The 19,050-nt window shown below is 36.7% G+C and overlaps 1 protein-coding gene across 1 annotated transcript in view, besides 1 other annotated feature; it reads left to right on the forward strand.

Moving 5' to 3' along the window:
* Positions 1 to 19,050, forward strand: part of XKR9 (XK related 9) — a 396,467-nt gene that overhangs the window by 96,736 nt on the left and 280,681 nt on the right. The window lies entirely within an intron of this gene.
* Positions 10,096 to 10,145: an enhancer, noted in NCBI's record as "active region_27511". NCBI's record gives its function as "activates an Ori minimal core promoter by ATAC-STARR-seq in GM12878 lymphoblastoid cells {active_cell/tissue: GM12878}" and the evidence as "EXISTENCE:reporter gene assay evidence [ECO:0000049][PMID:35858748]".

Raw genomic sequence — 19,050 nt, forward strand, 5'->3', positions numbered from 1 at the left:
TTGGCTTATATGGGCTCTTTTTTGGTTCCATATGAGACTTAAAGTAGTTTTCTCTAATTCTGTGAAGAAATTCAGTGGTAGCTTGATGGGAATAGCATTGAATCTATATATTACTTTGGGCAGTATGGCCATTTTCATGGTATTGATTCTTTCTACCCATGAATATGGAATGTTCTTCCACTTGTTTGTGTCCTCTCTTATTTCCTTGAGCAGTGGTTTGTAGTTCTCCTTGAAGAGGTCCTTTACATCCTTTGTAAGTTGTATTCCTAGGCATTTTATTCTCTTGGTAGCAACTGTGAATGGGAGTTCACTCATGATTTGACTCTGTGTATTATTGTGTATAGGAGCGCTTGTAATTTTTGCACACTGATTTTGTATCCTGAGACTGCTGAAGTTGCTTATTAGCTTAAGGAGTTTTGGGACTGAGATGATGGGGTTTTCTAAATATACAATCATATAATCTGCAAACACAGACAATTTGACTTCCTGTCTTCCTATTTGAATACCCTTTATTTCTTTCTCTTGCCTGATTGCCCTGGCCAGAACTTCCAATACTATGTTTAATTGGAGTGGTGAGAGAGGGCATCCTTGTCTTGTGCCAGCATTCAAAGGGAATGCTTCCAGCTTTTGCCCATTCAGTATGATATTGGCTGTGGGTTTGTCATAAATAGCTCTTATTATTTTGAGATATGTTCCATCAATACCTAGTTTCATGAGTGTTTTTAGCATGAAGGGGTGTTGAAGTTTATTGAAGGCCTTTTCTACATCAATTGAGATAATCATGTGGTTTTTGTCATTGGTTCTGTTTATGTGACAAATTATGTTTATTGATTTGTGTATGTTGAACTAACCATGCATCCCACGGATGAAACCAACTTGATTGTGGTGGATAAGCTTTTTGATGTGCTGCTGGATACAATTTGCCACTATTTTATTGAGGATTTTTCACATCAATGTTCATCAGGGATATTGTCCTGAAATTTTCTTTTTTTTGTTGTGTCTTTGCCAGGTTTTGGTATCAGGATGATGCTGGCCTCTTAAAATGAGTTAGGGAGGAGTCCCTCTTTTTCTATTGTTTGGAATAGTTTCAGAAGGAATGGTACCAGCTCCTCTTTGTACCTCTGGTAGAATTCGGCTGTGAATCCGTCTGGACCTGGGATTTTTTTGGTTGGTAGGCTATTAATTATTGCCTCAATTTCAGAACTTGTTATTGGTTTATTCAGGGATTTGACTTCTTCCTGGCTTAGTCTTGGGAGGGTGTATCTGTCTAGGAATTTATCCATTTCTTCTAGATTTTGTAATTTATTTGCGTAGAGGTGTTTATAGTATTCTCTGATGGTAGTTTGTATTTCTGTGAGATCAGTGGTGATACCCCCTTTATCATTTTTATTCTGTCTATTTGATTCTTCTCTCTTTTCCTTCTTTTTTTTTTTTTTTTTTTTGAGATGGAGTCTCGCTCTGTCGCCCAGACTGGAGTGCAGTGGTATGATCTTGGTTCTGCAAGCTCTGCCTCCTGGGTTCACGTCATTCTCCTGCCTCAGCCTCCCAAGTAGCTGGGACTACAGGTGCCCGCCACCATGACTGGCTAATTTTTGTTTTTGTAATTTTAATAGAGATGGGGTTTCGCTGTGTTAGCCAGGATGGTCTTGATCTCCTGACCTCGTTTTCTGCCTGTTTCAGCCTCCCAAAGTGCTGGGATTACAGGTATGAGCCACCGCACCCAGCCTGATTCTTTTGTCTTTTCTTTTTTATTAGTCAGGCTAGTGGCCTATCTATTTTGTTAATCTTTTCAAAAATCCAGCTCTTGGATTCATTAATTTTTTGAAGGGTTTTTCATGTCTCTCTCTCCTCAGTTCTGCTCTGATCTTAGTTATTTCTTGTCTTCTGCTAGCTTTTGAATTTGTTTGCTCTTGCTTCTGTAGTTCTTTAATTGAAATGTTAGGATGTTGATTTTAGATCTTTCCTGCTTTCTGATGTGAGCATTGTGCTATAAATTTCCCACTAAACACTGCTTTAGCTGTGTCCCAGAGATTCTGGTATATTGTTTCTTTGTTCTCATTGGTTTCAAAGAACTTATTTATTTTTACCTTAATTTTGTTATTTACCTAGTAGTGATTCGGGAGCAGGTTGTTCAGTTTCCATGTAGTTGTGTGGTTTTGAGTGAGTTTCTTAATCCTGAGTTCTAATTTGATTGCACTGTGGTCTGAGAGACTGTTTGTTATGATTTCCATTTTTTACATTTGCTGAGAAGTGTTTTACTTCCAATTATGTGGTCAATTTTAGAATAAGTGCTACATGGTGGTGAGAAGAATATATATTCTGTTGATTTGGGGTGGAGAGTTCTGTAGATGTCTATTAGGTCCTCTTGGTCCAGAGCTGAGTTCAAGGCCTGAATATCCTTGTTAATTTTCTGTCTCATTGATCTGTCTAATATTGACAGTGGAGTGTAAAGTCTCCCACTATTATTGTGTGGGAGTCTAAGTCTATTATTGTCTAGTATGTCTCTAAAAACTTCCTTTTAAATCTGGGTATTCCTGTATTGGGCAAATATATAATTAGGATGGTTAGCTCTTCTTGTTGCATTGATCCCTTTACCATTAAGTAATGCCCTTCTTTGTCTTTTCTGATCTTTGTTGGTTTAAAGTCTGTTTTATCAGAGACAGGATTGAAACCCCTGCTTTTTTTTTTTTTTGATTTACATTTGCTTGGTAAATATTCTTCCATCCCTTTATTTTGAGCCTATATGTGTCTTTGCACATGAGATGGGTCTCCTGAATACAGCACACCGATGGGTCTTGACTCTATCCATTTTGCCAGTCTGTGTCTTTTAATTGGGGCATTTAGCCCATTTACATTTAAGGTTAATATTGTTATGTGTGAATTTGATGCTGTCATCATGATGCGAACTGGTTATTTTGCACATTAGTTGATGCAGTTTCTTCATAGTGTCGTTGGTCTATATATTTTGGTATGTTTTTATAGTGGCTGGTACCTGTTTTTTCTTTCCATATTTAGTGCTTCCTTTAGGAGCTCTTGTAAGGCAGGCCTGGTAGTGACAAAATCCCTTAGCATTTGCTTGACTGTAAAGGATTTTATTTTTTCTTCACTTCTGAAGCTTATTTTGGCTGGAAATGAAATTCTGGGTTGAAAAATCTTTTTTTTTTTTTTTTAAGAATGTTGAATATTGGCCCCCACTGTCTTCTGGCTTGTAGGGTTTCTGCAGAGAAATCCGCTGTTAGTCTGATGGGCTTCCCTTTGTGGGTTATCTGACCTTTCTCTCTGGCTGCCCTTAACATTTTTTTCTTTGTTTCAGCCTTGGTGAATCTGACAATTATGTGTCTTGTGGTTGCTCTTCTTGAGGAGTATCTTAATGATGTTCCCTGTATTTCCTGAATTTGAATGTTGGCCTGGCTTGCTAGATTGGGGAAGTTCTCCTGGATAATATCCTGAAGTGTGTTTTCCAACTTGGTTCCATTCTCCCCATCAGTTTCAGGTACACCAATGAATTGTACGTTTGGTTTTTTCATGTAGTCCCATATTTCTTGGAGGCTTCATTCGTTCCTTTTCATTCTTTTTTCTCTAATCTTGTCTTCATCCTTTATTTCATTAATTTGATTTTCAATCTTGGATATCCTTTCTTCTGCTTGATCGATTTGACTCTTGATACTTGTGTGTGCTTCACAAAGTTCTCATGCTGTGTTTTTCAGCTTCATCAGGTCATTTATGTTCTTCTCTAAACTGATTATTCTAGTTAGCATTTCCTGTAACCTTTTATCAAGGTTCTTAGCTTCCTTGCATTGGGTTAGAACATGCTTCTTTAGCTTGGAAGAGTTTGGTATTACCCACCTTCTGAAGCCTACTTCTGTCAATTCGTCAAACTCATTCTCCATCCAGTTGTGTTCCCTTGCTGGCGAGGAATTGTGATCCTTTGGAGGAGAAGATGCATTCTGGTTTTTGGAATTTTCAGCCTTTTGGTGCTGTTTTTTCCTCCTCATCATGGATTTATCTACTGTTGCTCTTTAATGCAGAGGACCTTTGGATTGAGTTTTTGCATGTGTGTCCTTTTTGTTGATGTTGATGTTATTGCTTTCTGTTTGCTAGTTTTCCTCCTAACAATCAGTCCCCTCTTCTGCAGATCAGCTGGAGTTTGCTGGAGGTCCACTCCAGACCCTGTTTTCCTGGGCATCACCAGTGGAGGCTGCAGAACAGCAAAGATTGCTGCCTGCTCCTTCCTCTGGAATCTTCATCCCAGAGGAGCACCCGCCAGATGCCATTTGGAGCTCTTCTGTATGAGGTGTCTGTCGACCCCTGCTCGGAGGTCTCTTTCAGTCAGGAGGCAGTCTGTCTGTAGCAGAGCTTGAGCGCTGTGCTGGGAGATATGCTGCTCTCTTCAGAGCCGGCAGGCAGGAACGTTTAAGTCTGCTGAAGCTGCACCCACAGCCGCATCTTCCTCCAGGTGCTCTGTCCCAGGGAGATGGGACTTTTATCTGTAAGCCCCTGACTGGGGCTGCTGTCTTCCTTTCAGAGAGGCCCTGCCCAGAGAGGAGGAATCTAGAGAGGCAATCTGGCTACAGGAGCTTTGCTGCACTGAGGTGGGCTCTGCCCAGCCTGACCTTCCCAGTGGCTTTGTTTACACTGTGAGGGGAAAACTGCCTACTCAAGCCTCAGTAATGGTGGACACCCCTCCCCCCACCAACCTGGAGTGTCCCAGGTGGACTTCAGACTGCGTGCTGGCAGTGAGAATTTCCAGCCTGTGATCTTAACTTGTTGGGATCTGTGTGGGTGGGACCTGTTTAGCAACACCACTTGGCTCCCTGGCCTTAGCTGCCTTTCAGGATAGTGAATGCTTCTTGTCTTGCTGGGGTTCCAGGCACCACTGGGGTACAGAAATAAAACTCCTGCAGCTAGCTTGGTGTCTGCTCAAATGACAGCCCAGTTTTGTGCTTGAAACCCAGGGCCCTGGTGGTGTAGGCACCTGAGGGAATCTCCTGTTCTGTGGGTTGCAAAAACCGTGGGAAAAGCATAGTATCTGGGCTGGATAGCACTGTCCCTCATGGCATAGTCCCTCAAAGCTTCCCTTGGCTAGGGGACGGAGTTCCCTGACCCCTTGTGCTTCCCTAGTGAGGCAACACCCCACCCTGCTTCAGCTTACCCTCTGTGAGCTACACTCACTGCTTAACCAGTCCCAATGAGATGAACCTGGTACCTCAGTTGGAAATGCAGAAATCACCTGCCTTCTGCATTGGTCTCTGGGAGCTGCAGACTGGAGCTGTTCCTATTCGGCCATCTAGAAAGTTATTTTTACAAAGCCTGACTTTCAAGACTGTTTTTTATCCTTATTGACTTGAAATTTTTATTTTGTGGTCCAAGTGATTACTAAATTTTTTTCTCTTTATATTAATGGGGCAACAACACTGATCTATTCACCTCACTTTCCAAGGAAGATGGATACCTTAGTATGTCTGTAAGGAATGTAAAAGGGACAGGCCTGTTAATATACTTCAAAAAATATTATGCTTTTTTCCCCAGGGATCAAGTGACTGTTTTAGTCATTCTAGCTTGCATATGACATTAATTGAAGATTGGGTTTGTCTAGATCAAAAGAAAATGTGGCCTATGTTCTTTGGTAGGGTGGTAATAGCTGAAATGTTCCTTAACTCTGTCCACTAATGATATCTTGTAGCTTGACCTCTTGAGAACCCAGTCTCACTTGTCAAGCTGTTTCTTGAGGTTTGGGTGAAGCAGATGATCCAATCCTGTTGTAGCATGAATCTTTTAGAGTATGGCAATAAGAGAATTGTAGATATTGACAAAATTTCTGGAAGGATTACTTTTGAAAAATTAATTAAAATTGGTTTATTAAAAATCCCAGGAAAATTTTCTACATGAGATTTAGATAAACAAAATAAAACATAGAAAAGAAAAATGTTTTTCCTGCCATGTGTAATACACTTTTGAATACTTTTATAGTTAAATTTTATTTGAGATGGTCCATCCAAGTACCAGACTTGCATTATACCTGATAAATTAATACCATTAACACCTTGAGAATGTATTATCTTTGCATAATTAAAATGCATTTTCTTTACTAGAATATAAACAACTTGAGATCAGGATTGTATCTTATTCACTTCTGTGTCAGGAGTCTAGCATGATAACTGGAATGCTGTAAATGTTTAACACATGTTTGCCGTCTGTCTGGATATTTGCTGATCTCTGAACAGAAGATTTGTGAAAGAGAACACACAGGAAAAGATGCACCTCTCTTTTTAGTGATATATGTTTGGGACAATATTCCATGACAAAGGAGCCTAAAGATTTGAATTTCCATTTGTGTTGACCCTACAGTGATTTTGAACAGCCCGATTTAATAATAGACAGGAGCAGTTGGGGGAGAAGTAGATTTCTTGGCAATCCAATCTAGTTTAAAACACCATGAAATGCCTTGGTTATTATATCTTTCACTAGCTAACAAGCCAGGAATCTTATAACATTTGTGACATTGACAGGAGTTTAGAAATGAATACTGTGTAAGGTTTCATTTTGATGCATTGTAGTTCTCTTTATTGTGGTATCTTGTGCTCATACCATCGTCGTGAAATACCATGGCAACTTTTAAAAATTATTATATTTATGTAGAAATGTTAAAAAAAATTAAAAGACCTTTTGAAAAGATGAACAGAAAAATTAGCTTCTTGATTTCTAATTCATGTGTTGCAAGTCTTTGCTTTTTAGGACTTGCCAAATGTTTGTCTTCCCAATTTTCTAGTTAGGTGTAAAGTAAAGGGGAGTGTTTGGTATAAAAGTTTATAGAGTTTTAATGGCAAGGATAAAGCATTGTTGGTTTCAGTCGAAAAGTGTTTTGAACATTATCTTTAAAATGCTATGTCCATTGGCTTGTTGGGAAATCAATAGGTCATGAAAATATTAAATTAAAAGTTTATTTATACATGTAATGTAGATGTATATTTGTGATAAACATATTATATAATCATACTGTAGCACAAGTCTTGTCACTTTGTAAAAGGCTCCAATATTTTGATTACTGAGTGTTCAGGAAAGCCAGTGCATTCTTTCAGTGGTTATAAAAAGATCTGGCAGATATGGCAAGGTAAGCAGTTTACAAGTGTCTTTGAGGGATTTTTAGTTCAGGTTGCCCAACCAAAACAGGATTATTATTTGGCATGTTTACAGATATGGATATGCAGGGAAGCAGGCCTATGGCTTAATTAAGTCAGAGATTATGCGTTAACAAATTGGTTCTGTCAATGATGGATTCTGCCTGCAAGAGGCTAATTTGAATACAATCTACTGGCCATGGTCATAGAGCATAGAGCAACACAACTTTTTTACTTCCCTTCAGGCTGTCTTTTCTCTTGGCTAAGCTTTTAACAAGCTCCACATGCAAAATTGGATGATCTTGGTTGTTGTAAAGTGGCCTCAACATGTACATTTTGGGAAAGGGGAGAAACACTTGGATTAACTTTTGTGTGTTAATCTTTTATGATGTGTATGGATCAGACTTTGGGAAGGAAACTGATAGCTTCATGGTGAAATGTTGGCATACCATTTCTAACTTCCATTTGCCAGTTAAAAGGGGGAAGTGTTCAGGGTCAAAAACACTGATTTATTTGCTTCCTATGAAGGCAATGAATCAACAAAATGAGTGTGTCATTGTAATATTTGGAATCAAAGTCCAGGGTGAATTAGGGCCATTTAACTTGTTCTTAAGCCAGTTGGTTGGAATGGACTCTTCATTTCTTTGTAATCTTTGTTAGGTTTAGTAAGGAGGCATGGATTGGCTGTTAGAATAGGGTCATCTTCATGTAGATTAAAAGTATGGAGATTTAAAATCTAGAGCAATGTTCACTGGAAACAGTTTCACAGCAATCTGTTGGCATCATTTTTTAATACTTTTCAATTTTTCTTTGTACAAGTCACCTTTAACAGAACATCCATCCCTTCCTTGAGGTCATACTTCAGAACAAAGAATGCCCAAATCTCATGATGTAACACAATAAATACTTAATTCTCACCCATGCTACATGTCCAGAAATTATTGGCAGTGTCTGTCATATACACTTAGGGATACAGGTTGACAGAGATTCTACTTCAACCGATACTTTCATGATTGCGTAGAAAAAGGAAAACAGTAAATTATGTGCTATCTCTTAAAGCTTCCACCCTGAAGTGATATAATTCATTCAAATTTAATTTAATTTTTTAACAATTTAATATTTTTCAGAGATGGGGTCTTGTTATGTTGCTTAGGCTGGTCTTGGACTCCTGGGTTCAAGCAATCCTCCCATCCACTCACCTCAGCCTCTAGAGACACTGGAATTACAGGGACTAGCCACTGCACCTCGCTTCATTTGTGTTTTATTGGCCAAACCAAGTCAATATTTGCCTACCCTTCAGTCTTAAAGATTTTCTCCTTTGTTTTCTTCTGGAAGCTCTATATATTCAACATTTAGATCTATAGGCCATTTGGGGTGTTCTTTTTGTGTGTGTAGTATGAGATAAGTGTTTAGTTTCACTTTTTCCCATATGGATTTCCAGTTGTTCCAGCATAGTTTGTTGAAAAGACTGTCCTCTCCCCATCAAATTATTGGTATCTTTGTAAAAAATAAATTGACCCTATATGCAATGGTCCATTATTGGGCTGTCTATTTTATTTGTCTATCCTTAGGCTAGTGCACACTGTTCTGAAAAATATAACTATAAATATTCAAATAAATATTGCAAGCCCTGCAACTTTGTTCTTTTTCAAAATTGTTTTTACTGTTATATGTCTCTTTTATTTCCATATAAATATTATAATCAAGTTTTTACCTTTTAGAAAAAACCTGATAGAATTTTGATTAGGACTGTATTGAATCTTTGGATCAATTTTATTGAGTTTCCCAATATCTTTCATCTACACAGGTCTTTAATTGTTCTCAGCCATGTTTTATAATTTTCAGTGTACATATTTTATTAAATTTATCCCTAAATATCTCATTTTTATGTTACTGTAAATAGTATTATTTTCTAAATCTCATCTTCTAATTGTTTATGCTGGGATATATCAACATAACTGAGTCTTGCATATTGATTTTGTATCCTGCAAATTTGCTAAGTTTGGTTCTTAATTCTAGTCACTTTTTGGGTAAATTTTTTGGTATTTTTTATGTACAGTCATGTCTTGCAAATTAAGACAATTTTGGCTCTTTTTTTCCAAGTAGTATGATTTTTATTTCTTTTCTTGCATGGTTTCTTGAGTACAACCTCAAACACAACGTGAAACAGAAGTTACAGCAGATATCTTTGCCTTGTCTTCACTACTACTGAAATAGTGTAATATCATACTATTAAGCATGATGTTAGCTGTAGATATTTAGTAGATACTCTTTCTCAGGTTTTCTTCTAGTCCCAGTTTTCTGAGATTTTAAAATTATGAATGAGTGTTGAATTTTGTCAAATGCTTTCTCTGCATTTATTGAGATGCTCTGATATCTTTTTAATTTGGTTAGTATGGTGGATTATATTATTTTCAAATATTATACCAACCTTGTATTCTTGAGAAAACCACACTTGGACATGATGTATTATACCTTTTATGTATTAATGGATTTAATTGGCTTGCACTTTTATTAAAGATTTTTGCCTCTGCGTACATGGGGAATATTGGTCATTTTTTTTTTTTTTGAGACAAGGTCTAAGTCTTGCTCTGTTGCCCAGACTACAGTGGCGCAATCATGGCTCACTGCAGCTTCGATTTTTTGGGTTCAAGTGATCCTCTCACCTTAGCCTCCTGAGTAGCTGGGACCACAAGTGTGTGCCACTATGTTCGGTTAAGTTTTAAATTTTTTTGTCGAGATGGGGTCTTGCCATCTTGCCCTGCCTGATCTCAAACTCCTGTACTTAAACAATCCTCCCATCTCAGCCTCCCAAATTGCTGGGATTACAGGCATAAGCCACTGCCCCCAACCTGGTCTTTTCTTTTCTTGTAATGTTTTTGCCTCATATTGGTATTGGGAAAGCCCTGTTTCACAAAATCAGTTGAGAAATGGTTTCTCTTCCTCTATTTTCTAAAAGAGTTCTTTTTAAAACTCTTTGCAAGTGAAGTCATCTGAGTTTTGAATTTTATTTATAGGAAGGGCTTAATTCTAATACAGTTTCTTTAATTGACAAGGGAGTTATTCAGATTTTCTGCTCTTCTAGAATCAGTTTTGGTAACTCATTCTTTCAAGGAATATGTCTGTTTCAACTAAGCAATCAACATTTTTTCACTTAAAAATTTAAATAATAGTACCTTTTTTTAAGTGTCTGTAGGATCTTAGTGATATTTCTTCTGTTTTTTGGTATAAGCCATTTTCTCTTCTGAAAGAATTAAAGCTAATCTTTCATGAGCTGTCTGGTTGGATTCTTATTTCTAATACAGATGCTATCAGGGTCTTAGATGTGATAAACTCCCTGGGGTTTCTATAAGACTCTGAATGCTGTCTGGAGTTAAATGCCTGTTCTCCTCTGAGCTCCTGCAACTCCCTCCAGATCAGTGAGTGGCAGACACTTGGCTGCAGGGAAAAGCCAGGTTCTCCTTGTAGGCTGGAGGAATGGAGATAGGACAGCCTCTGTACCACCTGTTCTCTCTCTTCATGGCTGTCTCTCCTTAGTCCTCAGATCTCAGCATAATTGTCACCTCGTCAGAAGGGCCTTCTCCTGCCACCTTAAATTAAGAAATCTTTATAATTTTACTGATGCCTTTGATTACTGGGAGCTGCCTGAGGGCAGGAATCATCTGTCTGGCCTGCCATTACATTCTTCTTATCAACACAGTACCTTGCATTTAGCAGGTTTTCTCTTTCTTTCTCTCTCTCTCTCTCTCTCTCTCTATATATATATATATATGTATGTATTATACTTTAAGTTCTGAGGTACATAGGTAGAATGTGTGGGTTTGTTACATAGGTATACATGTGCCATGTTGGTTTGCTGTACCCATCAACTTGTTATTTACATTAGGTGTTTCTCCTAATGCTATCCCTCTCCCAGACCCCACCCCGTGACTGGCCCCCTTGTGTGATGTTCCCCTCCCTATGTCCATGTGTTCTCATTGTTCAACTCCCATTTATGAGTGAAAACATGTGGTGTTTGTTTTTCTGTCCTTGTGATAGTTTGCTGAGAATGATGGTTTCCAGCTTCATCCATGTCCCTGCAAAAGACATGAACTCATCCTTTTTTATGGCTGCGTAGTATTCCATGGTGTATATGTGTCACATTTTCTTTATCCAGTCTATTACTGATGGACATTTGGGTTGGTTCCAAGACTTTGCTATTGTGAATTGTGCTGCAATAAACATACGTGTGCATGTGTCTTTATAGTAGCATGATTTATAATCCTTTGGGTATATACCCAGTAATGGGATTGCTGGGTCAAATGGTATTTCTAGTTCTAGATCCCTGAGGAATCGCCACACTGTCTTCCACAATGGTTGAACTAATTTACACTCCCACCAACAGTGTTAAAGCATTCCTATTTCTCCACCTCCTCTCCAGCATCTGTCATTTCCTGATTTTTTAATGATTGCTATTCTAACTGGCATGAGATGGTATCTCATTGTGGTTTTGACTTGCATTTCTCTAATGACCAGTGATGATGAGCATTTTTTTCATATGTCTCTTGGCTGCATAAATATCTTCTTTTGAGAAGTGTCTGTTCATATCCTTTGCCCAATTTTTGATGAGGTTTTTTTTTCTTGTAAATTTGTTGAAATTCTTTGTAGATTCTGGATAATAGCCCTTTGTCAGATGGATAGATGGCAAACATGGTCTTCCATTCTGTAGGTTGCCTGTTCATTCTGATGATAGTTTCTTTTGCTGTGCAGAAGCTCTTTAGTTAAATTAGATCCCATTTGTCAATGTTGGCTTTTGTTGCCATTGCTTTTGGTGTTTTAGTCATGAAGTCCTTGCCCATGCCTATGTCCTGAGTGGTATTGCCTAGGTTTCCTTCTAAGGTTTTTATGGTTTTAGGTCTTACATTTAAGTCTTTTATCTATCTTGAGTTAATTTTTGTATAAGGTGTAAGGAAGGGATACAGTTTCAGCTTTCTACATATGGCTACCCAGTTTTCCATTTATTAAATAGGGAATCCTTTCCCCATTTCTTGTTTTTGTCAGGTTTGTCAAAGATCAGATGGTTGTAGATGTGTGGTGTTATTTCTGAGGCCTCTGTTCTGTGCCATCGGTCTATATATCTGTTTTGGTACCAGTACCATGCTGTTTTGGTTACTGTAACCTTGTATTGTAGTTTGAAGTCAGGTAGCCTGATGCCTCCAGCTTTGTTCTTTTTGCTTAGGATTGTCTTGTCTATGTGAGCTCTTTTTTGGTTCCATATGGACTTTGAAATAGTTTTTTTCCAATTCTGTGAAGAAAGTCAGTGGTAGCTTGATGGCAATAGCATTGAATCTATAAATTACTTTGGGCAGTATGACCATTTTCATGATATTGATTCTTCCTATCCATGAGCATGGAATGTTCTTCCATTTGTTTGTGTCCTCTTTTATTTTGCTGAGCAGTGGTTTGTAGTTCTCCTTGAAGAGGTCCTTCACATCCCTTGTAAGTTGGATTCCTAGGTATTTCATTCTCTTTGTAGTAATTGTGAATGGGAGTTCACTCATGATTTGGGTCTCTGTTTGTCTGTTATTGGTGTATAGGGATGCTTGTGATTTTTGCACATTGATTTTGTATCCTGAGACTTTGCTGACGTTGCTTATCAGCTTAAGGAGATTTTGGGCTGAGACGATGGGGTTTTCTAAATATACAGTTATGTCATCTGCAAACAGAGACAATTTGACTTCCTTTTTTCCTAATGGAATACCCTTTATTTCTCTTTCTTGTCTGACTGCCCTGGCCAGAACTTCCAACACTATGTTGAATAGGAGTGGTGAGAGAAGGTGTCCTTGTCTTGCACTGGTTTTCAAAGGGAATGTTTCCCGTTTTTGCCCATTCAGTATGATATTGGCTGTGGGTTTGTCATAAATAGCTCTTATTATTTTGAGATATGTTCCATCAATACCTAGTTTACTGAGAGTTTTTGGCATGAATGACTGTTGAATTTTGTCGAAGGCCTTTTCTTATCTATTTCTCAATAGATAATCACGTGGTTTTTTGTCGTTCTGTTTATGTGATGGATTATGTTTATTGCTTTGTGTATGTTGAACCAGCCTTGCATATCAGGGATGAAGCCAACTTGTTCGTGGTGGATAAGCTTTTTGATATGCTGCTGGATTCAGTTTGCCACTATTTTATTGAAGATTTTCGCATCAATGTTCATCAGGGATATTGGCCTAACATTCTCTTTTTTTGTTGTTGTGTCTCTGCCAGGCTTTGGTATCAAGATGATGCTGGCCTCATAAAATGAGGTAGGGAGGATTCCCTCTTTTTCTATTGTTTGGAATAGTTTCGGAAGGAATGGTACCAGCTCCTCTTTGTACCTCTGGTAGAATTCGGCTGTGAATCCGTCTGGACCTGGGCTTTTTTTGGTTGGTAGGCTATTAATTATTGCCTCAATTTCAGAACCTGTTGTTGGTCTATTCAGAGATTTGACTTCTTCCTGGCTTAGTCTTGGGAGGGTGTGTGTGTCCAGGAATTTATCCATTTCTTCTGGATTTTGTAATTTATTTGCTTAGAGGTGTTTATAGTATTCTCTGATGGTAGTTTGTATTTCTGTGGGATTGGTGGTGATATCTCCTTAATCACTTTTATTGTGTCTATTTGATTCTTCTCTCTTTTCTTCTTTATTAGTCTTGCTAGCAGTGTATCTGTTTTGTTGATCTTTTCAAAAAACCAGCTCTTGGATTCATTGATTTTTTGAAGGTTTTTTTTGTGTCTCTATCTCCTTTAGTTCTGCTCTGATCTTAGTTATTTCTTGTCTTCTGCTAGCTTTTGAATTTGTTTGCTCTTGCTTCTCTAGTTCTTTTAATTGTGATGTTAGGGTGTGGATTTTAGATTTTTCCTATTTCTCTTGTGGGCATTTACTGTTATAGAGATATTTCTTCTTTTAATCTCAATATTAGTAATTGTCTTTTCTCTCTTTTTTATCTAAAGGTTTTTCAATTTTATTGTACTTTTTCATGAACTGGCTTATATTTAATTTATTTTTCTCTTTTCTCTTCCATTTTATTGTTTTTCACTTAAATTTTTATTATTTCTTACTTTGCATTTAATTTGCCCTTCTTTTCCTAGCTCTTTAAGCTGGATGTTTAGATAATTTATTTTTGAACATTTATTCTTTTCTAATATAACCATTTAAAGCTATAAATTTTCTTCAAAACGTTGTTTTAGGTGGTCCCACAAATTTTGGCATATTGTGTTCTCATTATTCTTTAGTTCAAAATACTTTCTAAGTTCCTTATGATTTTTTTGACTTATGTACTATATAGAAACATAATGTTCAGTCTTCACATATTTTGGAAGTTTTCCAGCTACAAGCCAGGAAAGCGAAGGATTTCCAAAAACCCCTAGAAGCTTGAAGAGGCAAGGAAGAATTCTTCCCTAGAACCTTCAGAGGAAGCATGACTGCCGACAGCATGATTTTGGGCTTCTAGCCTCCAGAACTATGAGAGACTAAGTTTCTGTTGTTTAGAGCCATCTAATTTTTGGCAATTTATTATGGAAGTCCCAGAAAACTAATATACTTGGTGGTATTAGAATTTTATGTTTGTCTTTTTAAGGAACTGTCAAATTAATTCACTGGTGCCTGCATCATATTATAGTCCCATCAGCAATGAGGTTTCTCCTCCTCACCAACAATTGGTTTCAACACCAACAATTCTCTTCCTTTTTTTTTCTTTTTTTTTTAAAGACAGTCAAATTTAGCAGTGGAGAGTTGTATACCAACTTCAGTGATGCTGATGTTAATAAGTTCTGATAACCCACCATCATCAGGCCAGTGATTCTCTTCCTCACTATCCTCGGACCAACGATTCTCTTCCTTTCTTTTCCTCACCAATAATTCTTTTCATTTTCTTTTTAAAAAAATTATAACCATCCTAGTGGGTATAAAGTGGTATTGCTTGCAGTTTTGATTTGCATTTCTTTAGCAACTAACAATATTCAGCATATTCAGCATCTTTTCATGTGCTTATTTGCCACTTGTGTATCTTTTTTGGAAAAATATCTATTAAAATCTGTTATCCATTTTAAATTGGGTTATTTGTCTCTTTATTGATGAATTGTAAGGATTCTTTAAACATTCTGGTTACTAGACCCTCATCAAATATATGATTTGCAATATTTTCTCTGATTTTGTGGGTTGTCTTTTTACTTTCTTTTTTTCCTTTTATTTTTAGTTGACATGTAATAATTGTATATATTTATGGGATACAGGGTGATATTCCGATACATGTATGCAATGTGTGATGGTCAAATCACGGTAATCAGCATATCCATTAACTCAAACATTTATTATTTTTCTATGAGTGAGACCCCATCTCCAAAAAAAAAAAAAAGAGTTCCCTTTTCTTTCAATCCTTGCCAGCATTTGTTATTTTTTGTCTTTTTGATAATAGCCATTCTAACTGGGGTGAGATGAGATCTCATTGTGGTTTTGATGTGCATTTCCCTGATAATTACTGATGTTGAGCATTTTTTTAATATACCTGTTGGCACTTTGTATGTCTTCTTTTGAGAGTTGTCTATTCAGCTCATTTATCCAAAGAGTATACTCTTGATAGACATTTAGAACAAGCTTTCTCAAAAAGTGTGTTCTGAAAAAATAAAAGAAAGATTAGTTCCATAAAATATTTATGCGGATTACTGGGGGAAAATTGTTCATTGAATTACTTATAGCACTTGTGTTCTATGATTTACACTATGGATTTAGGAAAACAAAGAAAAGCCCTTGGTATGTGGTTAGAACTTTACAAGACACACTTACATACACAACTATGATTGTAAATTATAAGCTCCAGACCTCTGCTCCCAAATGTCCTGAGTAAAGTCTTTCTTTACTGGCTTCCAAGTCCTGCAGAGGCTGTCACTATCACCTGGACTTAGGTTGAACTTCAAAGTCTGATGGAAACATGTAGGAATGTGAAGCAGCACAGCTGCTATCTTAGACTCTTTGAAAGACTTTAAATTAGTTGCTTTGCTATTCTCGGGTTTAGTCTTTCCCTCTGCAGTATGCTTTCTGGTGTGCATTTTATTTTTATTTTTTATTGTAAATTGACAATTTATAATCGTATACATTTATGGAATAAAAAGTGATATTACGTTTTATGAATATGATGTTAAATAATTAAATAGAGCTAGTTAACATATCCATCACTTCAAATACTTAACATATTTGTGATGAGAATATTTGAAATGTACCCTTAGTTTAGAAATGTACATTACTCTAAAACTGTATGCACTACGCTGCATACAGTTGTAAAAAAAAATTCCTTCTGAGATTTTTTACCCTTTGACCATAATCTTATTCCTTCTGCTTGAGATTTTGTACCTTTTGATCATAATCTTCCCATCTCTCCCAACCCCTAACCTCTGTAACCACCATTCTACTCTTTGCTTCTATAAGTTTGATTGTTTTAGATTTCACATATAAATGAGTACATGCAGGATTTGTCTTTCTTTGCCTGGCTTATTTCACTTAGGATAATGTTCTCCAATTCCATCCATGTTTTCAGAAATGATAAGATTTTCTTCTTTTTAAAAGACTGAATAGTATCCTACTGCGTATGTAGACCACATTTTATTTATTTGTTCATCTGTTGATGGACATTTTACTTGATTCCATAACTTGGCTATTGTGAATAGTGCTGCAATAAATGTAGGACTGCCAACACCTCTTCTACCAACTGATTTGACCTTGTTTGGGTAAATACTCAGAAGTGGGATTGCTGGATCATGGTAAATCTATTTTTAGTTTTTTGAGAAACCATACAGTTTTCCTTAATAGCTGTCCTAATTTACATTCCTAGCAATAATAGAAGGTTGAACCACCAAGGGTTCCCTTTTTGTCACATTCTTGCCAATACTTATCTTTCATCATTTTTATAATAGTCATTCTAACAGGTGTGAAATGCTACCTTCTTGTGGTTTTACCTTGCATTTCCCTAATGGTTAGCAATATTAAGCATTTAAAAAATATGTCTGTTGGCCATTTGTATGTCTTTTTTTTTTTTTTCTTTTTAAGACGGAGTCTGACTCTCGCCCAGGCTGGAGTGCAGTGGCATGATCTTGGCTCACTGCAAGCTCTGCCTCCTGGGTTCACGCCATTGTCCTGCCTCAGCCTCCCAAGTAGCTGGGACTACAGGCACCTGCCATCACACCCAGCTAATTTTTTGTATTTTTAGTAGAGATGGGGTTTCACCGTGTTAGCCAGAATGGTCTCGATCTCCTGACCTCGTGATCTGCCTGCCTTGGCCCAAAGTGTGTATGTCTTCTTTTGAGAAAGTCTATTTAGGCCCCATGCCCATTTTTTAACTGAGTTTTTTGTTTTTTTGCTGAGTTTTAACTGAGTTGTTTGAGCTCCTTGTATATTTTGGATATTAACCAATTATTGGATATATGGATTGCAAATATTTTCTCCCAATTTGTATATTTTCTCTCACACTGTTAATTGTTTTCTTTGCTGTGCAGAAGCTTTTTGGTTTGATGTAATCCAATTTCACAATTTTTGCTTTACTTGGCTGTGCATTTGAGGTCAAATACATTAATCATTTCTCAGATCAATGTTTTATAGTTTTTCTCCTATGTTTTCTTCTAGTAATTTTACACTTTCTAGTCTTATATGTAAGTCTTTAATCCATTTTGAGTTGATTTTTGTATATGATTTGAGATAAGGGTTCAATTTAGTCTGCATGTGGACATTCAATTTTCCCGACACCATTTATTGAAGAGACTGTCTTTTTCCAATGCGTGTCCTTAGCACCTTCGTGGGAGATCAATTGACCATATATACATGAGTTTATTTCTGGGATCTCTCTTCTGTTCTGCTGTTCTATATGTCTACTTTAATGCCAGTACTATGCTGTTTTGATTACTATGGCTTTGTAGTGGATTTTGAAGTCAGGTAGTGTGATGCCTCCAGCTTTGTTCCTTTTGCTCAAGATTGCTTTGCCTAGTCAGTGTCTTTTGTGGTTCTATACAGATTTTAGGATTATTTTTTCCATTTCTATGTAAAAATGACCCTGGAATTTTGATAGAGATTGCATAGACTCTATAGATCACTTTGTGTAATATGGACATTTTCACACTATTAGTTCTTTCAATCCATGAATGTGGAATATCTTTTAATTTATTAGTGTCTTCTTTGATTTCTTTCATGATTTTTTTATAGTTTTTAGTGTACAGATTTTTTTTACCTCTTTAGTTAAATTTATTCCTTTTTTTGTACCTATTGTAAGTGGGATTGTTCTCTTTAATTCTTTCTGGTTAGTTTGTTGTTAGTGTGTAGAAATGCTACTGATTTTTGTGCGTTGATTTTGTACCTTGCAACTTTACTGTATTTATTAGTTCTGGCAGATTTTTTTTTTTATTGGTAGAGTATGTAGGGTTTTCTATATATAAGATCATGGCATCAACAAACAGTGACAGGTTTACTTCTTTCTTTTCTATTTGGATGCCTTTTATTTCTTTCTCTTGCTTAATTTCCCTGGCAACCACTTGCAATACTATGTTGAATAGAAATGGTAAGAATAGGCATCCTTGTCTTGTTCCAGATCTTAGAGGAAATGCTTTCAATTTTTCATCATTGAGTATGTTAGCTGTAGGATTCTCATATATGGACTTCATTGTGTTGTGATACATTTCTTCTATACCTAATTTGGTGAGATTTTTTTTTTTTTAATCATGAAAGGATGTCGAATTTAATCAAATGCTTTTTCTACACCTACCAGGTGATCATATGATTTTTCTTCTTCATTCTGTTAATGTGATGTATCACATTTATTGATAATGCTGGCCTCATAAAGAGTTTGGAAGTGTTACTTCTTTTTTGATTTTTTTGGAAGACTTTGAGAAGGGTTGGTATTAGTTCTTTAAATGTTTTGTGGAATTCAGCAGTGAA

Source organism: Homo sapiens, chromosome 8 (genome assembly GCF_000001405.40).
Source record: "Homo sapiens chromosome 8, GRCh38.p14 Primary Assembly".
Lineage (NCBI taxonomy): Eukaryota > Metazoa > Chordata > Mammalia > Primates > Hominidae > Homo > Homo sapiens.